Below are 24536 nucleotides of genomic sequence, written 5' to 3'. Positions count from 1 at the left end.
GATCCACCTGCCTCCACCTGCCAAAGTGTTAGGATTACAGGTATGAGCCACTGCACCAGGTCTGAAATGTAATTTTCTATTTCCCATTTTTAAATACTTAGTAATTACTAAGTGATAATTTCCTGCTTTACAGAGAGTACACGGTTCAAATCCCACTCAACCAATTTCCAAAAGGCAGTTAAAAGTCTTCCTAGGGTTTACATTGAGTACTCTTTAATACAAGTAGACTATTAGATAAAACTTGCTATGCTGAGATTTTCCTTATAGCAGTACTTCTAAAAAGCCAATTCTAAAGTCTATGATAAATTAATGTGATCTGAAACCATATACATTTAATGAATCAGTCTTGGTGGTCAGATGGTCCAAAGTTGTAAAGCCCAATATTAATACCTAATTGGCTCTGCAGATTTAGGGCTAAGGAATCCTAGGAAGAGAGAGCAACATCTCTGAGAGAGATGTTTGCATCATATTTAATAAATAAGTAAACCCTCTTGGGAAAAACAGGAATCTATTAGAATAATAGAATATCTGCTGGTAGATAAAGACACAAATAGATCTGCAAAAAGGGGCACAGGGCAGGGAAAGCAGTGTGGGTCTTCCCAACATTTTCGGCTCTTTGACTATTTCATAGACATGCTTTTTATCTTTGGGAATTTCCTTTTTGCAATAGATTTCCTTTTGTTTTGTTTTCAACTTGGTACAGTTGACCCTCAGTATCCATGGGGAATTGGTTCCAGGACCCTTGCAGATAACAAAGTCCACAGATGCCCAAGTCTCTTATGTAAAATGGTGTAGTATTTGCATATAACCTATGCACACTCTCCCATATGTTTTAAATAATCTCTGGATTACTTATAATACCTAATACAATATAAATACTATGTAAATAGTTGTTATGCTTTTAAAATTTGCATTATTTTAATTGTTATATTGTTATTATTTATTTATTTATTAATATTTTCAATATGAGGTGAGTTGAATCCACAGATGTGGAACCTACAGAGATGGAGGACTGACTATAATTGTTTCACAATTTCTTTTCTTTACTGAAGATTACCGAGTTACTTGGATACTCCTGTTGGGATTACTACCAGTAGTACTCTTTCTTGGGAATTGAAGTAATGAGGTTTTCCTATCCGCTGTATTCTAGGAATCTCCTTGGTATGCCAGACATCTCTCATACCATGTCTTGTTATATTTGATTGCAGATGTGCTTCTGAACCAGAGTGTTGAGATTTCAGCCACATTCCTCAAATGCCAGGCATACACGGATGAGCCAGCCCTTTTTCTGTAACCTGCTTCTCTGTGTCCTTGCTGTACAGGCCCTGTCTCTTAAGGAGCAGAGTCAGAAAAGTGGGCACTGTTTCAATGGACTGACATTCATGCTCGACACATTGGTTCCTCTGTCACTATTAGATAAAACTTGCAGGCAGTTTGACCTCAGCCAAGTCACTTAGTGCTCGGAGCCCTGACTTGCTCTTCTGTGAAATGAAAATAACAATTAGTACCTACTCTCGTCCACAGAATTGGCATGCATCCTATAAATCTATCAACCATCCATTCAATTAACACTTATTGAGAATTCACTTGCTTGCAAGACACTGGGGCCAAGGATGAATAAGACAGGACATCTGCCCTAGAGGAGTTCTTGTTAGGGATTTAATGGATCAAGTAAGATAACGCACACATTAAAAACAAAAAACAAAAACAACCTTACTTCATGCCCATTGGGTTAGCTATTACGTTTTTTTAAAAAAAGAATGATAATCTAAATGTTGACCAGAAAGTGGAGAAATCAGAGCCTTTGTGCACTGTTGGCAATATAAAAGATGCGGCTGCTGTAGCGGGTGGTATGGCAATTCCTCAAAAAAGTTAAAAATAGAATGATCCTATGATCCAGCAATCCCACTTCTAGGTATATGCCCAAAATTGAAAGCAGAGACTCAGACAGGTACTTGCACATCAGTGTTCATAGCAGCATTATTCACAATAGCCAAAAGGTGAAAACAACCCAGGTGTTCATCAACAGAAGAATGGATAAGCAAAATGTGGTAGACACATAAAATGGAAGATATTCAGCCTTAAAAATGAATCAAATTCTGATAAATGCTACAACATGAATGAACCTTGAAAGCATTACGCTACGTGAAATAAGCCAGACACCAAAGGATGAATATTGTATGATTCCACTTATATGAGACACCTAGAATAGGAAAATTCATACAGAAAGTAGAATAGAGGTTCCCAGGAGCTGTGGGGAGGTGGAGAATGAGGTCATGTTTAATAGGTACAGAGATTCAGTTTGGGATGATGAAAAAGTCTGGAAATGGCTAGTGGTGATGGTTACACAACATTGTGAATGTACTTAACACTACTGAACTATACACTTCAAAAAGGTTTAAATAGTAAATTTTATGCATATCTTACCACAATTAAAAAAAACTTTATAATACCTAAAATGCCATACAAATGCAAGCATTATTAACTTGAATTAAGATTAATAGGATTGTGTTTATGATCAATCTCTTAAAGTGCTATATGCACAAAGTTACATTGTCATTATTTATTGTGTGATATTGAAGAACATCTATTCAGATAAACTTTAAAAATAATTTATATCCCATCTTCTTCCAAAAAGAATTTGAGGTAGTTTACCATAAAATCATCAGGGTAATGAGAACAAATCCTATTAATGTAAGACAAAATATAGAAACTGAGATACAAAGCAGAGAAGAAGGAAGAGAAGGCAGATTACCTGAGCAAAACTCAACTGTTATCCTCCTAGGAACCAGGGAAGTGTTCATATTCATCAGATCTTTTATTCTTAAATGTCATTGGTTTCAATATGATCCTCGTATGGGTCTATAGTGCTTTGTGTTGTTACCATTAACAGTTCTAGGAATTTATTTTATAATCAGGAAACACCTAATCAAAACAGAAGAAGGATGTAAAACTTAAGAACATGTTTTCCTGAGACCGAGCCCTCAGGACTGTATTGAGACCGAGCCCTCAGGACTGTATTCTGTGTTTAATGAAACAGGTTCCTGGAAGGGTATCTGCCCTGCTTGCCACAGCCCCATCAATCTCCTATACCTCCCCTGGCCAGCACTCATCCACACTCGTGGCCTGGCATGACAACCATCTCCTCAGCTAGCTCCCCCAGCCTCCCAGCCCCCATCCAAACTCTGCTCTGGGCAGCCTGGATCCTGTAAGGCCCTGTGTGTGGCCATGACTCCAGCCCCTGCTGGAGTTTACTCCTCATGGCACTCCTGTCTTCCTGGATAAACCCTGTACCTCTTGTAGAGGATAGGTCAGACTTCACCTTCTCCAACCCAATCCATTCCCCTTCTCCTTTCTGTTTCTATGTGGCACTCCAGTTACACATTAACTGTTAGTTAATCAGGGTTGCAAATGAATAAAAGTCTTGTGACCTTTGTTTCATTTATTGTGAAAAGCAGGGGCCATTAGACAAAAGATTACATCAAACAGTCTATTAGAAATGATAACATATTTATAGAATGATACATGAGGGCCAAGAGGGGAAGTCAAGTTTATCTAATCCAGCCCTTTGACATACAAAGAAACAGAATCTGAGAAAGGAAGTGACTTACCCTGTATCCTAGAGGTAGAAATAGAACTGGAACCCCAGTTTCTTGAAACCCTGTGTTTTTATAACACCATGCTAATTTCATTCTAATTTGTGTTTTATTTAATAATCAGCAAACAGTTCTTTAGATGCACCCCAAACATAGGCCAAGAGCAACTAGGTAAAGTAGCAGAAACAGTACTTGCTTTGCAAAAGCCATAGACCTTGGGCAATGTTTCAGAGCCCTGGGCCTCTATTTGAACTGTTTCCTGATTATTAAATAAAACACAAATTAGAATGAAATTAGCATGGTATTATGCAAACACTGGGTTTCAAGAAACTGGGGTTCCAATTCTATTTCTACTTCTGTTTTTACATCTGTAAAATGAAGAGATGAGCTGGATCGTCTTTAAGTTTATATCTGCTTTTAGCATTTTATGAACCTACTAGACGATTGGCTTAACCCCACGGCATTAGTCAGTGTTCTCTAAAGGTACAGAACTAATAGGATAGATGAATATATGAAGGGGAGTTTATTAGGAGAGTTGACTCACACAATCACAAGATACCAAGTCCCACAATAGGCATCTGCAAGCTGAGGAGTCAGGAAGCCAGTCTGAGTCCCAAAACCTCAAAAATAGGGAAGCTGATAGTGCAGCCTGCAGTCTGTGGCCAAGTGCCAAAGAGCCCCTGGCAAATTACTGTTGTAAGTCCAAGAGTCCAAAAGCTGAAGAACTTGGAGTCTGATGTTCCAGGGCAGGAAGCATCCAGCACTGGAGAAAGATCTAGTCCTTCCACCTTCCTCTGCCTGTTTTTTTTTTTTAATCAGATTTTGGTACTGGGAATGGTTCTAGAGGAACAGAATTTTAAGGATGGATTTCTTTTTTTTCTTTTTTTTTGTTTTTGAGCTGGAGTCTCACTCTGTCACCCGGGCTGGAGTGCAGTGGCGCAATCTCAGCTCACTGCAAGCTCCGCCTCCTGGATTCATGCCATTCTCCTGCCTCAGCCTCCCGAGTAGCTGGGACTACAGGTGCCCGCCACCATGCCTGGCTAATTTTTTGTATTTTTAGCAGAGATGGGGTTTCACTGTGGTCTCAGTCTCCTGACCTCGTGATCCGCCTGCCTTGGCCTCCCAAAGTGCTGGGATTACAGAAGGATAGATTTCTTTAGTTGGTTTTTGGGTTTCTGGAGTTGGTTGCTTAATATGATTAGACCCCAAAATGCTAAGGACTCTACTTCTAATTGTGTGGAGAACACTGATAGTCCTTGGCACGAACTGTTCAAACACTTATGCAAAAGAAATGCATTCAGTACTCCTGATTCACCACTCATGAGAGGCAAGGAGTTTAATGACTCTATACATAATACCTTTGACCATATATAGAGGACCAAGGAATATAACGAAGTTGGTTGGTTGCTCCTAAGTTCACTGGACAAACTGATAGAAGAAAACCATGAACTTAGGGATTCTAACTCCCAGCTCCAGAAGCATACACTGAGCCTCAAATCTTCTAAGATTGTCCAGAGTGAGAGTCTTATCTCTTGTAGAGAAAGAGCTGAAATTGTGGAAAATCAGATACAAGCTCTTATCATGGGAGCGGCTGACCTGCAATGAAAGGTGCATGCACAGCCTCACCAGGTGTCTACTGTTAAAATGAGGGCATTGATTGGAAAAGAATGGGACCCTGCAACTTAGAATGGGGATGTGTGGGAGGATCCTGATGAAGCTGGGGACACAGAGACAAACCATATCATTTCACCCCGGCCCCTCCCAAATCTCATGTCCTCACATTTCAAGACAAATCATGCCTTCCCAACAGTCCCCCAAAGACTTATTTCAGCATTAACTCAAAAGTCCACAGTTCAAAGTCTCATCTGAAACAAGGCAAGTCCCTTCCACCTATGTGCCTGTAAAATCAAAAGCAAGTTAGCTATTTCCCAGATAAAATGTGGGTGTAGACATTGGGTAAAAATACCTGTTCAAAATGGGAGAAATTGTCCAAAACAAAGGGGCTATCAGCCTTATGCGAGTCTGAAATCCAATAAAGCAGTCAAACCTTAAAGTTCCAAAATAATCTCCTTTGACTCCATGTCTCATAGAGATTCAAGAGGTGGGTTCCCACCACAGCCTTGGGCAACTCTGCCCCTGTGGCTTTGCAGGGTACAGCCCCCCTTGTGGTTGCTTTGATGGGCTGGTGTTGGGTATCTGCAGCTTTTCCAAGCACATGGTGCAAACTGTTGGTGGATCCACCATTCTGGAGTCTGGAGGATGGTGTCCCTCTTCTCACAGCTCCACCAAGCAGTGTCCCAGTGGGCACTCTGTGTGGGGACTCCAGCCCCACATTTCCCTTCCATACTCCCCTAGCAGAGATTCTCCATGAGGGCCCCACCCCTGCAGCAAACTTCTGCCTGGACATCCAGGCATTTCTGTACATCCACCTCAATTCTTGACTTCTGTGAACCCACAGGCCCAACACTACGTGTAAGCCACCAAGGCTTGAGGCTTGCATCTCTGAACCAATGGCCTGAGCTGTACCTTGGCCCCTTTCAGCCATGGCTGGAGCAACTGGCATGCAGGGCAACAAGTCCCTAGACTGCATAGAGCAGGGGTCCCCGGGCTGGGCCCACAAAACCACTTTTTCCTCCTAGGCCTGAGCCTGTGATGGGAGGGGTTGCCACAAAGGTCCTTGACATGCCCTGCAGACATTTTCCCCTTTGTCTTGGTGATTAACATTTGGCTCCATCTTACTTATGCAAATGTCTGCAGCAGGCTTGAATTTCTCCTCAGAAAATGGGTTTTTCTTTTCTATCACATCATCAGGCTGCCAATTTTCTGAACTTTTATGCTCTTCTTCCCTTTTGAGCATAAGTTCCAATTCCGAACCATATCTTTGTGAATACATAAAACTGAATGCTTTTAACAGCACTCAAGTGACATCTTGAATGCTTTGCTGCTTAGAAGTGTCTTCTGCCAGGTGCCCTGAATCATCTCTCTCAAGTTCAAATTTCCACAGATCTCTAGGGCAGGGGCAAAATGCTGCCAGGCTCTTTGCTAAAACATAGCAAGAGTCTCCTTTGCTCCAATTCCCAACAAGTTCCTCATCTCTATCTGAGACCACCTCAGCCTGGACTTTATTGCCCATATCACTATCAGCATTTTGGTCAAAGCCATTCAACAAGTCTCTAGGAAGTTCCAAACTTTACCACATCTTCCTGTCTTCTGAGCCCTCCAAACTGTTTCAACCTCTGCCTGTTACCCAGTTCCAAAGTTGCTTCCACATTTTCAGATACTGCAGCACCCCACTCTACCAGTACCAATTTACTGTATTAGTCTATTCTCATGCTCCTAATAAAGACATAGCTGAGACTGGGTAATTTATAAAGGAAAGAGGTTTAATGGACTCACAGTTCCACATAGCTGGGGAGGCCTCAAAATCATGGTGGAAGGCAAAGGAGGAGCAAAAGCATGTCTTACATGGTGGCAGGCAAGAGAGCATGTGCAAGGGAACCGCCCTTTATAAAATCATCAGATCTCCTGAGACTTATTCACTATCATGAGAACAGCACAGGAAAAACCTGCCCTCATGATTCAATTACTTTCCACTGGGTCCCTCCCATGACATGTGGGGATTATTACAATTCAAGGTGAGATTTGGGTGGGGACACAGAGCCAAACCATATCACCCACCAAAGAATTTGCCAGTACACAGAATAGCATACACTTTCACCTCCTTTCCTCCTCCACACTGTTCCCCTTAGGGACAAACCTCCTTCTTCTATTCCCCCTTACTTTTTAAAAAACTTTTTATTTAAAAAAACTGATTTTTTACTTAAAGAAAAACCTCTGCTTAAACTTCACTCAACACAGAGTTGGCAGTGTCTCCCCCAACCCCTGGTTTAATTAGTTGCCCCTCCTCTGCACCTGACTTTTCTGACTAGCCTTACCTTATCACACTCATTGGAATCATTGATTTTTTTTATCTCTTCCATTAGACTCTAAATTTATTAAGGTCAGGATTATGGTACATTTCTCTATCCCAAGTGCCTATCATGGAGCCAGGCTCATAGTAGGGCATCAATACATGTCTGGTCAATTAGTACAATAGTTTTTGGGTGGGAAACAAGGATGAGAGTGTGGTACTGATTTCAGCTGAAGCTGTTGGAGTTTTAAGGATGATTAGAACTTGAAAGAAAGTGGAAAATAGCGATAACACTGGCTTAACAGAAGTGGGGTCTAAAAGGAGTGGGTCAGATGAGTGCTATTTAGTTGAATAGGAGACCATCTGCAGTAGAATCATCCAGGGCACTTGTGAAAATTACAGATTCCATCTTAGCTCCCACCCACCTCTCCCCATTCTGATGTGTAAATCTGGTTTTACCTTTAAAGCAAGCTCCTTAAGAAGATTCTTACCACATGAACAGAGAGTCTTAAACTCTTAGAAGGAACTCTGGCAGCTGTGGGCAAGTTCTTGAAGAGAGAATGAAGACAGGATAAAAATGGAGCTTTGGGGGACTAGGCGTGGTTTCTCACACCTGTAATCCCAGCACTTTGGGAGGCCTAGGTGGCAGATCACCTGAGGTCAGGAGTTCGAGACCAGCCTGGCCAACATGGTAAAACCCCTAATACAAAATTTAGCTGGGTATGGTGGCAGGCAACTTTAACCCCAGCTACTGGGGAGGCTGAGGCACGAGAACCATTTGAACCTGAGAGGTGGCAGTTGCAATGAGCCGAGATCATGCCATTGCACTCCAGCCTGGGCAACAAGAGTGAAACTCCATCTCAAAGGAGCTTTTGGAAGGGCGTAGCCTGGTGGTCTGCAAAATAGACTGGTGGAAGAGAAATCTCAGAAGGATGAGATTCTATGAGTGCACTAAAGTGTTTAAATGACAGGAATTGAAAGCTTGCTCTGTGGGGTGTCACCAGAAGTGGAGAGTCAGTAGTCACCCAGGAAGCATGTTGAGAGATGATATAAGGAGCCTGGGTGACAGAGAGAATATAAGGGATGTTGGAGGGGGGAGTTTGAAACAACACCTGTGTTTTAGGGACCCTAGAAAAATGTCAGTTCCACTGAAACACATGCTACTTCTGTCTAATTAGTTCTATTTCAACTTGATGTGACTGAGGTGTCTGGGAGGCATCCAGGTGAAAATGATATAGACCATTGGCAATGTGGGCTCAAGAGTGACCAAAGGTCTAGGAGGAAGACAAAGATGTGGGAGAGTCAACAGCATGAAACAGGAAGGACAGAAGCCTGGAAATCTGAGTTCGGGTTCTTGAAAAGTAAAAATCTGTAATGCTTTCTGACATGCATAATGTGATGATAGGATAGCAGGAGTAAGTGAAAACTCTTGATGGCAAATTGTGTTGACAATAATGAGCAAAAATAGACCTCTGGCAGACTGGATCCCTATTGGAGAACTGAGAAACGGCGGGGAGGCGGGGAAGGGGGGGTGACAGGGGCAGTAGTTCAAAGGGGGAGCAGAGGAGGGCACATGAACAAAGAAGAAACTTATCAGGAAATCCTTAATGATCTTTCTTGCTAAAAAGGATTGCATTTTTTTTTTTTAGCATATTCCTTTCATTCCTGCCCCTTGGTTGTGGTGTCATTTGAAACAAGCATGAGGTGTCATGTAGAATGGAACCAGATATCCAAAGCTCTGTTTTCATGCTACCCTGAAATATGGCTTCAGAGAAGAAACATCCCTTTAAAACACATTATACCTCCATTTCCCCTTTAATGAGCTAAGGGCGGCGTCTGTTTTGAAACGTAAAGCAAAGTGCCCGGATGTAAACTAACGCAGAGTACATTAGTGCAGGCTGCTCTTGCATCCTAAGCTCCCTTTGGTATCCTAAGTGCAGTCCTCTAGCTCTGAGTAGATTGCCATCAGGACAGAAATTGCTGTTGGTGCTGAAAGGTTATTTTTAATTACTTGAATACTCCCAGTGTTTTCTGTTGTTCATCTGCATGATATACACTTGATGATTTTAGATGGTAAATCCTTGAGAGTCTTTTTTTTTTTTTTTTTTTTTTTGAGACGGATATCGCTCTGTTGCCCAGACTGGAGTGCAGTGGTGTGATCTCGGCTCGCTGCAAGCTCCACCTCCGGGGTCCACGCCATTCTCCTGTCTCAGCCTCCCGAGTAGCTGGGACTACAGGCACCCACCACCACGCCTGGCTAATTTTTTGTATTTTTAGTAGAGACGGGGTTTCACCGTGTTAGCCAGGATGGTCTACATCTCCTGACCTCGTGATCCGCCTGCCTCGGCCTCCCAAAGTGCTGGGATTACAGGCGTGAGCCACCGCGCCCGGCCGAGAGTCTTTTCTGTGAATAAAATTACATGCTTTGGAACAGGGGTGTCCAATCTTTTGGCTTTCCTGGGCCACGCTGGAAGAAGAAGAATTGTCTTGGGCCACACATAAAATACATTAACACTGGCCAGGCGAGGTGGCTCACGCCTGTAATCCCAGCACTTTGGGAGACCAAGGAGGGTGGATCACGAGGTCAGGAGATCAAGACCATCCTGGCCAACATGGTAAAACCCCATCTCTACAAAAATACAAAAAGTTAGCTGGGCATGGTGGCGCACGCCTGCAGTCCCAGCTACTCGGGAGTCTGAGGCAGGGGAATTGCTTGAACCTGGGAGGCAGAGGTGGCAGTGAGCCGAGACTGCACCACTGCATTCCAGCCTGGCAACAAAGCAAGACTCCGTCTCAAAACAAAACAAAACAAAAAATACATTAACACTAACGATAGCTGGTGAGCTAAAAAAAAAAAAAAAAAAAATCGCAAAAAAAATCTCATAACGTTTTAAGAAAGTTTACAAATTTGTGTTGGGCCACAGGCCGCAGGTTGGACAAGCTTGCTTTAGAATAATAAAGCAGGGAATTCCAAAATTGACCACATAGTTGGAAGTAAAGCTCTCCTCAGCAAATGTAAAAGAACAGAAATTATAACAAACTATCTCTCAGACCACAGTGCAATCAAACTAGAACTCAGGATTAAGAATCTCACTCAAAGCCGCTCAACTACATGGAAACTGAACAACCTGCTCCTGAATGACTACTGGGTACATAACGAAATGAAGGCAGAAATAAAGATGTTCTTTGAAACCAACGAGAACAAAGACACCACATACCAGAATCTCTGGGACGCATTCAAAGCAGTGTGTAGAGGGAAATTTATAGCACTAAATGCCTACAAGAGAAAGCAGGAAAGATCCAAAATTGACACCCTAACATCACAATTAAAAGAACTAGAAAAGCAAGAGCAAACACATTCAAAAGCTAGCAGAAGGCAAGAAATAACTAAAATCAGAGCAGAACTGAAGGAAATAGAGACACAAAAAACCCTTCAAAAAATCAATGAATCCAGGAGCTGGTTTTTCGAAAGGATCAACAAAATTGATAGACCGCTAGCAAGACTAATAAAGAAAAAAAGAGAGAAGAATCAAATAGACACAATAAAAAATGATAAAGGGGATATCACCACCGATCCCACAGAAATACAAACTACCATCAGAGAATACTACAAACACCTCTACGCAAATAAACTAGAAAATCTAGAAGAAATGGATACATTCCTCGACACATACACTCTCCCAAGACTAAACCAGGAAGAAGTTGAATCTCTGAATAGACCAATAACAGGCTCTGAAATTGTGGCAATAATCAATAGTTTACCAACCAAAAAGAGTCCAGGACCAGATGGATTCACAGCCGAATTCTACCAGAGGTACAAGGAGGAACTGGTACCATTCCTTCTGAAACTATTCCAATCAATAGAAAAAGAGGGAATCCTCCCTAACTCATTTTATGAGGCCAGCATCATTCTGATACCAAAGCCGGGCAGAGACACAACCAAAAAAGAGAATTTTAGACCAATATCCTTGATGAACATTGATGCAAAAATCCTCAATAAAATACTGGCAAACCGAATCCAGCAGCACATCAAAAAGCTTATCCACCATGATCAAGTGGGCTTCATCCCTGGGATGCAAGGCTGGTTCAATATACGCAAATCAATAAATGTAATCCAGCATATAAACAGAGCCAAAGACAAAAACCACATGATTATCTCAATAGATGCAGAAAAAGCCTTTGACAAAATTCAACAACCCTTCATGCTAAAAACTCTCAATAAATTAGGTATTGATGGGACGTATTTCAAAATAATAAGAGCTATCTATGACAAACCCACAGCCAATATCATACTGAATGGGCAAAAACTGGAAGCATTCCCTTTGAAAACTGGCACAAGACAGGGATGCCCTCTCTCACCGCTCCTATTCAACATAGTGTTGGAAGTTCTGGCCAGGGCAATCAGGCAGGAGAAGGAAATAAAAGGTATTCAATTAGGAAAAGAGGAAGTCAAATTGTCCCTGTTTGCAGACGACATGATTGTTTATCTAGAAAACCCCATCGTCTCAGCCCAAAATCTCCTTAAGCTGATAAGCAACTTCAGCAAAGTCTCAGGATACAAAATCAATGTACAAAAATCACAAGCATTCTTATACACCAACAACAGACAAACAGAGAGCCAAATCATGGGTGAACTCCCATTCACAATTGCTTCAAAGAGAATAAAATACCTAGGAATCCAACTTACAAGGGATGTGAAGGACCTCTTCAAGGAGAACTACAAACCACTGCTCAAGGAAATAAAAGAGGACACAAACAAATGGAAGAACATTCCATGCTCATGGGTAGGAAGAATCAATATCGTGAAAATGGCCATACTGCCCAAGGTAATTTACAGATTCAATGCCATCCCCATCAAGCTACCAATGACTTTCTTCACAGAATTGGAAAAAACTACTTTAAAGTTCATATGGAACCAAAAAAGAGCCCGCATCGCCAAGTCAATCCTAAGCCAAAAGAACAAAGCTGGAGGCATCACACTACCTGACTTCAAACTATACTACAAGGCTACAGTAACCAAAACAGCATGGTACTGGTACCAAAACAGAGATATAGATCAATGGAACAGAACAGAGCCCTCAGAAATAATGCCGCATATCTACAACTATCTGATCTTTGACAAACCTGAGAAAAACAAGCAATGGGGAAAGGATTCCCTATTTAATAAATGGTGCTGGGAAAACTGGCTAGCCATATGTAGAAAGCTGAAACTGGATCCCTTCCTTACACCTTATACAAAAATCAATTCAAGATGGATTAAAGATTTAAACGTTAAACCTAAAACCATAAAAACCCTAGAAGAAAACCTAGGCATTACCATTCAGGACATAGGCGTGGGCAAGGACTTCATGTCCAAAACACCAAAAGCAATGGCAACAAAAGACAAAATTGACAAATGGGATCTAATTAAACTAAAGAGCTTCTGCACAGCAGAAGAAACTACCATCAGAGTGAACAGGCAACTTACAACATGGGAGAAAATTTTCGCAACCTACTCATCTGACAAAGGGCTAATATCCAGAATCTACAATGAACTCAAACAAATTTACAAGAAAAAAACAAACAACCCCATCAAAAAGTGGGCGAAGGACATGAACAGACACTTCTCAAAAGAAGACATTTATGCAGCCAAAAAACACATGAAGAAATGCTCATCATCACTGGCCATCAGAGAAATGCAAATCAAAACCATTATGAGATATCATCTCACACCAGTTAGAATGGCAATCATTAAAAAGTCAGGAAACAACAGGTGCTGGAGAGGATGCGGAGAAATAGGAACACTTTTACACTGTTGGTGGGACTGTAAACTAGTTCAACCATTGTGGAAGTCAGTGTGGCGATTCCTCAGGGATCTAGAACTAGAAATACCATTTGACCCAGCCATCCCATTACTGGGTATATACCCAAAGGATTATAAATCATGCTGCTATAAAGACACATGCACACGTATGTTTATTGTGGCACTATTCACAATAGCAAAGACTTGGAACCAACCCAAATGTCCAACAATGATAGACTGGATTAAGAAAATGTGGCACATATACACCATGGAATACTATGCAGCCATAAAAAATGATGAGTTCATATCCTTTGTAGGGACATGGATGAAATTGGAAACCATCATTCTCAGTAAACTATCGCAAGAACAAAAAACCAAACACCGCATATTCTCACTCATAGGTGGGAATTGAACAATGAGATCACATGGACACAGGAAGGGGAATATCACACTCTGGGGACTGTGGTGGGGTCGGGGGAGAGGGGAGGGATAGCATTGGGAGATATACCTAATGCTAGATGACACATTAGTGGGTGCAGCGCACCAGCATGGCACATGTATACATATGTAACTAACCTGCACAATGTGCACATGTACCCTAAAACTTAGAGTATAATAAAAAAAAAAAAAAAAAAAAAAGAGTCATACATTTTCTCCTATTTTATAAAGGTATTTGAAAGGAAAACAAGAGAAGCAAGGAAAAGCAATGGCCTAACACTGATGTGAGGGCTCTTTTTAAGTCATATATTAATTTGAATGTATTTAATGAATATTGATTTGCCTACATTCTTCAGTGGAGTTCCTATCCTTGGCATTTTATCTCTTGCACTCCAACAGGTAAAATGAAGCAGTTGGATGAGATTTCTAGACTTTTTTTCCAAACTGTAATCCAGAATATGACCAAGGGATTTCTTTTCCTTCAGAGATGTGAATATTTTCCTGTATTAGAGTCCTAAAAGCTCCTAAGAGTCTCTTAAGTTCATAGATCATTTTTGGATAATAACCTTGACTTCTGTCCACCTCCTGGTTATTTCTGCCTTCTGACTTCCTTTAATTGTCAATGCATCCTGAAGCCAGCTTGCCAAGTTGCTTAAGCCCAGTGCTTCATGAAGGCATAAGAGGCTGATTGTACTCAGGTTTTCCATGAATGCTTAACTGTTGCTGTGGTCCCACTTGATGCCAGGGCTCGTAGAAACATATTGGTATTGAGGCCTGTACTTCCTTCTGACATAGAAACCGTTGTTGTTTCCGGGTGATTTATAAAAGGCATAGGAACCTCTTTCTCAGTGACTTAGTAAAGTATGATGTTTAAGTAACTTTTTGGGAGTTTTAGACTTCCGGAAATTACATCCTCTGTGGTACATCTTGTTTATCAGTCTTGTCTTATACAAGTATTTATAAATAGACACAAAAATGATTATAAGAAAGAATAATGAGCTGTAAAATATGTGAATTGTATTATTTATTTATATCTATCAAATAGGGTTTACATATCATTACCTCCAGTAACATTCATTTTAAAATATTATGTAAACCCTATTTTTCCATTATAAAAGCAGTAAATGTTTCACTTTAAAAAAGATTGTAGAAGGGTATAGAGTAAGATGTAGAAATTCTCCTTTCCCATACTTTAGCTTTCAGTACCACTCTCCAAAAGCAATCACTTTTAACAATGTGTTAAGTTTCTTTGCATAAATTTTCTGAGCATATACAGTTTTACGTATATTTCTACATACACATTCATTTTTTACACAAATAGTCATACTATGCTTACTTGTCTACGTCTTGTTTTGTTTTTTCACTAAAAATACCTGGCCTCTGTCATATCAGTGTTTTAGTCAGCCTCATTCTTTTTAACAATTGCATGGTATTTCATCATTATATGTATGTACCATATATATGTATATATATATACACACACACACACATATATCTATCTATATCTATATGTATGTATATATATATTTTTTTTTTGAGATGGAGTTTCACTCTTGTTGCCCAGGCTGGAGTGCAATGGTGTGATCTCGGCTCACTGCAATCTCCACCTCCTGGGTTCGAGTAATTATCCTGCGTCACCCTCCCAAGTAGCTGGGATTACAAGCATGCGCTACCACACCCATCTAATTTTTTGTATTTTTAGTAGACACAGGGTTTCACCATGTTGGCCAGGCTGGTCTCGATTTCCTGGCCTCAAGTGATCCACCTGCCTCAGCCTCCCAGAGTGCTGGGATTACAGGGGTGAACCACCATGCCCGGCCCATGTACCATAATTTTTTGATGAGCATTTAAGTAACCAGTTTATATCTGGTTGTTGTTGAAGTTATATTGTCCTAATTATAAACAATGAACATTCCTAGAAGTGAAATTACTGAACCAAGGAGCACGTGTTTTACATTTGGGTGAGATGTTTCTAAATTACCTTCCAAAGAGCTTGCACAAATTTACACATTTTACCAATATTGTGTGAGGGTTTTTCCACACCCTCATTTACCAGTCTTTCTATGAGGTTTGAAATGTTTAATATTCTAATAGATGAAAATTGTTGCTCTTTTAAAATATGCCTTCGTTGAATGTATGTACTGAGTATTTTTTCCACGAGTCTCATATCCATTTGAATATTTGTGTGAATCTCCTATTTTGTGTCCTTTCCCATTTTTTTCTATTGGATCATTTGTCACATCCATTTTTATGAGAGAAAAACAAATCATTTTCTAGGAGAGGCTGCCATTTAATAGATAATCCATCAATAGTTAACAAGAATAAATATATATATTCTACACAAGGACACATGTATAAACACTCATCTACTTGGACTCCTAAAAGAAATAATAAATATGGCCACGTAGCCTGAGGAGAGAAAGAAAGTCTGTCTGGGATAGATGTGGGGACTGGCCTTACTCTTTCTACTGGTTTTCTATTGCTATATAAAAACTGACCACAAACTTAGGAGACCTACAGTTTCCCTGGGACAGGAGTCCCACAAGGCTAAAGTCAAGGTGTTGGCTGGCTGTGTTTTCATGTGGAGCTCTGGATCCTCTTCTAAGTTCGCGTGGTTGTGGCAGGACTCGGTTCCTTGCAACTATAGGACTGATTTCCCTTCCTTGCTGCCTGTCAGCTGGGAGCCACTCTCAGTTCCTACGGCTGCCCACATTCCATTCCATCTGGCCCCCTCCATCTCAAAAGTCAGCAAAGGGGAATCTCCTTTGTGTTGAATCTTTTTTATGCTTCCAGTCTCTGACCACTTGACCCATATAGATCTGAGTTCATATGATTAGGACAGGCCCAACTGGATTACCTATCAAATGAACAGCAAAATCCTTCCACAGCATCCCCTAAATTAGTGTTTGATTGGAAGAGGCGTATGTGCAGTGGGGCCAGAAGTCTTGGGGACCGTCTTAAATTCTGTCCACCACATCTTCCACCTGCATTCCTTGACAGAAGCAGACAGAAGTCATATCTTTTGCCTTAGGAAATCACAGTGAAACATCCAATGCCAGAGGAAGGAGCTAGCATACATCTAACCCCATGTACAACAAAATACATCCATATGGGTCAAAGATCTGGATCTGGCCTGGCACAGTGTCTCACACCTATAATCCCAGCAGTTTGGGAGGCAAAGGCAGGAGGATTGCTTGAAAGTAGCAGTTTGAGACCAGCCTGGGTAACATAGCAAGACCTCATCTCTACCAAAAAAAAAAAAAGGCGTTAGCTGGGTGTGATGGTGCATATCTGTAGCCCTAGCTACTTGGGAGGCTGAGGCAGGAGGGTTGCTGGAGCCCGGGAGTTCAAGGCTACAGTGAGCCATGATCATGCCACTGCACTCATTCCTGGGCAACAGGGCAAGACCCTTTCTCTTAAAAGGAAAAGAAAGCTTGATGTGAGCAGAAAGCTGGAGAGAAAATCTAGGAAACCACTTATACAATGTATACAATATAGGGGGTGGGGGTGGGGTCAGGCAGACCTTCCTTGACTAAGGATCCAGACCTGGTATTTCTGACTCCAACATCTCCCTTCTTGACCCCCACACTATATGGCCCACCCAGAGGACAGGTCATTCACTGGCTGCCTAAAGGATTTTGAGTTCTCTAACCTTGCTGTTTCTTCTTGATACCAGTGTGATCACAGTGTGCGTTTGTGAGATGCTGACCTTGGGTGTTCAATAGAACAGAATGAACTGACCAGAAACTAAGTAGGTGAGCCACTAAAAGGGAACTGTATTGATGAGCATTATTCTAACAGAATTCTAAAAGAACATTCTCCTCTCCCTGTCTCTCTCTCTTTCACCCTCCCACCTGCTGCTGTGATTCAGGCGCATTATACGTGACTTGCTTGAGACTGAAGAGATTTACATAAAAGAGATTAAAAGCATAATTGATGTAAGTAGATTTGGGGAGTGGGGTATCAAGCATATATTCAAACTGCAGATGTTTTGTTGTACAAAGAGACTCAAAATAGTTGCCAGAAGTCTCCAGAATTCCCACCAAGGTTTCAGGTCTTAGAATATTACAAGTGTCTCCAGTAGGAATAAGAACATCCCTGTGGTTTCTTGATCCATGTAGCCAAATAGTTTCCAAAGAATTAAGCCAGTTCACACTGATTCCAGCAAAGCCCAAATAGGTTTACCATCTTCTTGCCAACAAAGGATATTATAAGTGTTCCTGATACTTTAATAAGGGAAGATTATTTCTTGTTTTTTTAAAGTAGTCTTTTTCTTAAGAGTAAAAATGCATGTTTTCCCTATTTTCCTAAGGGAATAATCTTAAGGAAAAAATTATATGTACGCGATTATTTATAATCACATTTTTACCATAAAATATTAGAAGCAACCCAAATGTCCATAAAAAGGGAATGTTTAGTAAACTATGATATATATGCTGAGTAAACATTATTCAGATATTAAAAAATAATTATTGGGCCGGATGCAGTGGCTCACGCCTGTAATCCCAGCATTTTGGGAGGCCGAGGCGGGTGGATCGCCTGAGGTCAGAAGTTTGAGACCAGCCTGGCCAACATGGTGAAACCCTGTCTCTACTAAAAATACGAAAATTAGCCAGGTGTGGTGGTGTGTGCCTGTAATTCCAGCTACTTGGGAGTCTGAAACGGAAGAATCACTTGAACCCAGGAGGCGGAGGTTGCAGTGAGCCGAGATCACGCCATTGCACTCCAGCCTGGGAAGAAGAGCAAAACTTCGTCTCAATATTAATAATAATCATAATAATAATAGTAATTGTATTAGTTCATAAAACAGTGGGTACATTTTCCCTTCTTTTAGATTAAACCTGTGTAACATAAACATTTTTAAATATATTTGTTCTTCCCACAAAAATGCCATTTTATGATCATTGCCATTAAGCCATCTCCTTCTGAAAGTGGGCACATGAGGAAAATGATATCAAAAGAAAGTACTCAATACGATAGCTTTCAAGAAACAAGTGTGCTATATTCTTCAATCATTTCACTAAAGTTTTGGGTTTTGCAGTAGCTAATTCAGATGATCTCTGGTATGTTCCTGTTTGTAACACCTACCTTGTTTGCACCTCTGCAGGGATATATCACTCCAATGGATTTTATTTGGCTAAAGCATCTAATTCCAGATGTTCTTCAGAATAACAAGGACTTTCTCTTTGGGAATATTAGAGAACTTTACGAATTTCACAACAGGTATATAATAATTCATGTTATCAGAAAGAATGGAGAGTAAGAGAAGGGTGGAAATGAGACTGATGGAATTGAGAGATGAAAACACTTAGATGTTTTCAGGTTTAAGCAAGTGGTTTGGAGTCAGTGGATTGGATTGGGGTGGGTTGGAGTGAAAGGAGGGGAGAAGCCCCACAGGATCCCTGGAGAGAAAGGGAAGAGACATCAAAGGAACAGGGACCCAGTGTCAGACATCCATGTTGTATGCAGTTGAGTGTTCCTTTGTTTATTTATTCATGCATCAGCATTTTTTGAGCACCTGTTCTGTGCCAGGCACTGTGCTCAGCATTGGGAATACAAAGATGACCAAGATACACATCTCCATACTACTATCATAAGGGGATGCTGGGAACTAGGGTGTTAGAAAATGCTGACTGCTCAAACAAGTTGTACTTTTAACTCGGGGCTGCTTGGATATTGAGTTCTAGAGAATTGCAGGAATAAGGGACTTTGGAAATCATCTTCAAACCCTTTCATGTTACACATATGGGAATGGTAACTTGTTAACTCTCTTTATTCGCTATGATGACCCCAAGATTGCACACCTAATTCACAGAGGGAGAAAAGCTGCTTGGTGAATTGAACCACAGTTGCTTCCTAACCCCATTCCTCGTCCGTTGGTCAGACGCAAAACTGAAATGGAAACCCATTTCTGTTGATTTCCCCAGAGAAGTTATGTAGCCTCTTTGAGCCCCAGGTTTTATATTTATAAAACCCTATCTTTGGTTGAGGATTAAATGAGATACTATTTGCGGAGCACTTAGCTTATGCCTGGCTTATAGTAAGCTGTCAATGATATTAGTAATAGCAACAGCAGCAGCAGCAGTTCTTATGAACGTTACTTTCATGTAAGAGAGAGCATCAGTGAATGTATCCAGTCTATCTATGACTAGTGCTTAGAATTACCCGAACAGCTGTGTTCTGATAATTGGAGATGATCCTGACCCCCTGTGCCTTCTGAGTAGTTCTCATTTCTCCTCTCTTTCCCAACTAGTTCTTCTCATTCTCTTTCTTATTTTTCTTTTTGTGAACCTAAGGCAACAGATCGAACAACTTAAAGTTGTGAGTGATTTCAGGGTAATTGTAGTAATACCTCAGAATACAGCTTTTTTTTCTGAATCAATGTGTAGAAGATAAGAGCAAGAAGGCCTGGAGAACATTTTTCTAGGCACCTCTTGAAACCTTATGTGATTGTACTTAAAAAATTAATTACCTACATGTCAAAATCAAAACATTATTACTTGTATACTTTTATTTTTCTAGGACTTTTCTAAAAGAGTTGGAAAAGTGTGCTGAGAACCCTGAACTTCTGGCACATTGCTTTCTCAAGAGAGTAAGTCTGTACTCCCAGTAAATAATCATGTTAAAGTCAGCCCTTACATTTCTGCGTTAAGTGGCAAGGACAAATGGAAACATCAATGGTCTAAAAACATATCTGCTTCCCTCCGACTCCAAGCTTTACTGAAGTATAATTGGTAAATAAAAATTGCATATATTCAAACTATACAACATGATGGTTTGATATACTTACACCCTGTGAAATGATTACTGCAATCAAGTTAATGAATACATTCATTACCATTGTGTGTGTGTGTGTGTGTATATGTATATATATATAATCCAAAAACAGTTGAGCTCATTGAAGTAGAAGGGTGGTTGCCAGGGGCTGGAGTCTAGAGGAAGTAGGGAGATGTTGGTCACAGGGTACAAACTTGCAGTTATGAGATGAGTAAGTCCTGGAGATGTAACGCACAGCATGGCGACTATCATGGAATAATACTGTACTGTACACTTGCAATTTGTCAAGACAGTATATCTTGTATCTGCCCTTTGAATGGAAAACATGAGTTGGCCTCCCAACTTTATCTGACTTTATCCAAGGTGAGAATGAGTCCAATTTGACTGAGCTCACACTGATATGTGGGAGTAACCGCAAGCCTGGCTTCCTGCAAAGCCCCATGAAATGGAAGGCTGGCCATCCATGGTCCCCAAAGCAGAGGATCCTCTTCTGAATGACTCAACTACGTTTTAAAACAAGAATCATACAGCGAGGTTAGAGTCCCACAATAAAGCTGTACTAATGCTCTCAAGAGGAGAAGCACTGGTGTTAAACTAAAAACCTCAGGAAATACATTTTCTTTCCATTCTATTTTTTACAACATAGAGGATGATTCGAAAATTCTAAATCTACAGCCTCCTTTAGGCTTAGTACTCAATTTATGAACATCTTGGCCTACAACATTATACCTCCAACTACCCCTTCTTCCCACCTCCCAGACTTCTTCCCTCTTTCCCTGTTTCTCCACCCTGTTTTAGGCAACAAATAGGCTATATGGGCCAGTGGGAGCTGCCACAGAGAAATGTTCCACCCAACATCAATCCCCACCAGGTACTTTCTAGGACACGACCATGGAGATGATCCTGACCCCCTGTGCCTTCTAAATAGTTCTCATTTCTCCTCTCTTTCTCAACTAGTCCTTCTCATTCTCTTTCTTATTTTTATTTTTGTGAACCCAAGGCAACAGATCAAACAACTTAAAGTTGTAAGCAACTCATATTATGACTGAGGCTGAGAGCAATACTTATGATAACTGGAAGCAAACAAAGCCTCCAGGTTTCAAGATATTTGACATTAATGGAGAGAAGGAATCTTCCATGCTCAGAGCCTTTTGGTGGCCCCATATGGCTTTCCATGTCAACTCATCATAGGCTTTGTGTCAAAGCACCAGAATTCAATGTACACTGAAAACTATTTTATACTCATTCTGATTCATTAATTTTTTTGAACTATTACATTATTAGTGCTTTATATACTATTTTGAATTTTTGCACTTAACAAACGACTAATGTGAAATCTAGTTTCAGAGATTAGAAGTATTTTATGGTTATGTATGTCATTACTGCAAAGATTATTTAAATTGCTCAATGAGAAATGGGCAAAGTTCCTGTGGGAAAGTGGATATTATCAAATTGTTCAAATATGAGGAAATTGTCAGAGAATTATTAACTAAATACCTTTTCTGAATTCCTCTCCTAAATTGTAAAGTTTTACAAAGTTTTTTGATAGCGCCCCGCCATGTTGGGAGGAACATTGTAAATCATTAACCCAGCCAGAAAACACTGACTTAGCCCTATGTGATTTATGATGTTAGAGACAAAATACAAGTAGTACTTTTTTTTTTTTTCTTGAGACGGAGTCTCGCTCTGTCACCAGGCTGGAGTGCTGTGGCGTGATCTCGGCTCACTGCAACCTCTGACTCCCTGATTCAAGCGATTCTCCTGCCTCACCCTCCCTCGTAGCTGGGATTACAGGCATGTGCCACCACGCCCGGCTAATTTTTGTATTTTTAGTAGAGACGAGGTTTCATCATGTTGGCCAGGATGGTCTCCATCTCCTGACCTCGTGATCCGCCCACCTCGGCCTTCCAAGATAATGAATTTTGAAATAGTTTTCTGACCAAGTGTTTTAATCAGCCTCTTTAGCCTGTATCTTCTGAAACAATTCTCCTCCAGAGACCATGTTCTATATAGAATAATATTTGTCCATAGTGTACTGTGGGTTCCAAGTACTCTGAGATCTCACATGGTAAAATGGAAAGAGCACTGGAATGGGTGCTCACACTGATATGTGGGAGTAACTGGTAAGTCAGGAAACCCGATTTATCATGTTGGTCAAGCCACTTGCTATCTGCATGACCTCCAGTAAATAACTTAAACTTTGGAATCTCACTTTCCTCCTCCACACAACAGGCTAATAGTACCAATATGTACAGTTGTTGTGGGAAACAAAATAATGTATGCAGAGGATTCCATAAAGTAAAAAGTGCTTTGACAATAGCCACCATTTTTTGAGTACTCTATCCATTGGGCATTTGTGGAGAGGTTTCTATACATCATCTCATTTAATCTCACAACAGTCACAGGAGTTGACTACTGTTATGGGCCCACTTAACAGATGAGGAAACTGAAGTCTAGGAAGGTTAGGTAACTTACTTTAGGCCATATGATTTGTATTTGGCAAAGCCAAGAACTGAACCTGGACCATCCGCCACCAGAGCCCCGCAGTCTTAATCCGTAAGCAAGTATGTATTCTTGTGTGAATATGAGTTTCTGGTAGCAATTTTATAGCCTCCTGATTCATTCTATAAGGAGATTAGGAGAATTGGGCACTTTTGTATGTTGCTGGTTAGTGGACATCCTTTCTCTGAGGAATTTTGGACTGTTAGCCTTTAGAAGAGCAATTTAGGTCAATACTATATTGTTAAGCTCTGAGTTATTATTCTAGCTCCTTAACCAGTCTGAACATTTTTCAAGGGCCATCTGTCTTAAATGTGTGTGCCATTTTTTTCCTGGAGGGAATAGCAAAGGACGGTTGCTGTAGTTCCTATGCTGAAATGACCACTTACAACCTATTGGGAGAAAGAAAGAGCTACAGAAATGGAAGTCATCCACTATAGCAATGTATTTGGGAGTAGAACAGGCATCATTGAAGCTGAGAGGGAAGGAATCATCTGTGTTGACATGAAGGAAATCCAGAGTTGGGCTGAGCAGGAGGACAGGGACACAGACTTCTGCAAGGAGGTGGCTACATGGGCTTCTCCACCAGAATGGCATGGGATCTGTGGCCAGCACAGCCGCTGTGGGCCAGGCTCCCTGATAGAGCGAGTGAAGCTGGCAAGCTGACGCCAGAGGCTTGGAGTGTGCTTTCTCTCCGGGAGATTGGCAGATATGTGCCCACCTCTCAGCGTCTTTGATACCATGAGAATACAGGTTGAACAGCACGTTGAGTCCTCCTTGCTCTCTAGCTCCGAAACAGTCACATAACATTTCCTGTCTCAGAGTCTTGTGCTGCAGGTTGAAAGTGATGTTTGAGGCGGAGCCTGTCACTTTGAGGGTTGCCCAAATGACTGAGCTCCGTATTGGTTGCCCGATCTACCACATCTCCCCTCTGGCATGTTTCCATCTTTTGGTTGTTTCTTGGGCTTCTTTGCAGGGTTGGTGTCACGATGACCACAAGGAGAGGGTGGAGAGAGAAGAGAGGGGGACCATCAAACACCAGCCTCTTTTCTGTCAGTTTTACTACTCATTGCAGACCTGTTGTGGGGAGATGTCGATGTCCTGGACAAAGGGCAGGAAAAGAATGATAAAGATAAAAACCAATTCCTGTTTGTGAGTCTACTTATGTATTTACCAATAGCCCTTGTAGATGCTCCCAGAGCACTCTGTGCCTATCTATGTCTGGTAGTTATGGTTGTTTAAAGCCTTCTGTTTATCTCTCCATCACACACACATCCCAACATAAGATTACTTACTGTACACCCCCAATTCCTTACACATTAGAATACTCTGGCTTGTTGAATGAATGAATAAACTGTATCATCCTGTCCACTTACTGAAAAATGCTGCCTGATTAATTTATTCTAATTTTTTCCCACCTAGAAAGAAGATCTTCAGATATATTTTAAATACCATAAGAATCTGCCCCGAGCTAGGGCAATCTGGCAAGAGTGTCAAGACTGCGCCTACTTTGGGGTAATGTTGAGAAGACAAA

At 41.0% G+C, this 24536-nt stretch overlaps 1 protein-coding gene across 6 annotated transcripts in view, besides 2 other annotated features; it reads left to right on the top strand.

Moving 5' to 3' along the window:
• MCF2L2 (MCF.2 cell line derived transforming sequence-like 2) overlaps window positions 1-24536 on the top strand; it is a 250579-nt gene that overhangs the window by 180005 nt on the left and 46038 nt on the right. For 4 of the 6 annotated variants that reach the window (NM_015078.4, XM_011512585.3, XM_047447751.1 and 1 more), the window contains 4 exons: window positions 17598-17664; window positions 18834-18949; window positions 20249-20318; window positions 24425-24517. In NM_015078.4, coding sequence (NP_055893.4) covers window positions 17598-17664; window positions 18834-18949; window positions 20249-20318; window positions 24425-24517 — 346 coding nt within the window. Of the gene's footprint in view, window positions 1-17402; window positions 17482-17597; window positions 17665-18833; window positions 18950-20248; window positions 20319-24424; window positions 24518-24536 lie in introns of those variants that run through there. The other 2 variants (XM_017005945.3, XM_017005946.3) reach the window with 2 other exon arrangements.
• Window positions 14299-14512: a silencer, noted in NCBI's record as "fragment chr3:182951891-182952104 (GRCh37/hg19 assembly coordinates)". NCBI's record gives its function as "represses an EF-1alpha promoter that drives an FKBP-Casp9 reporter gene in an ReSE screen in HepG2 liver carcinoma cells {active_cell/tissue: HepG2}" and the evidence as "EXISTENCE:reporter gene assay evidence [ECO:0000049][PMID:32094911]".
• Window positions 14507-14707: a silencer, noted in NCBI's record as "peak4957 fragment used in MPRA reporter construct". NCBI's record gives its function as "represses an SCP1 promoter by STARR-seq MPRAs in K562 erythroleukemia cells {active_cell/tissue: K562}" and the evidence as "EXISTENCE:reporter gene assay evidence [ECO:0000049][PMID:32103011]".

The sequence above is a fragment of the Homo sapiens genome, chromosome 3, assembly GCF_000001405.40.
Source record: "Homo sapiens chromosome 3, GRCh38.p14 Primary Assembly".
NCBI classification, from domain to species: Eukaryota; Metazoa; Chordata; class Mammalia; order Primates; family Hominidae; genus Homo; species Homo sapiens.
The sequence above is the reverse complement of the archived record's forward strand: the minus strand, read 5'-3'. Positions and strand labels throughout refer to the sequence as shown.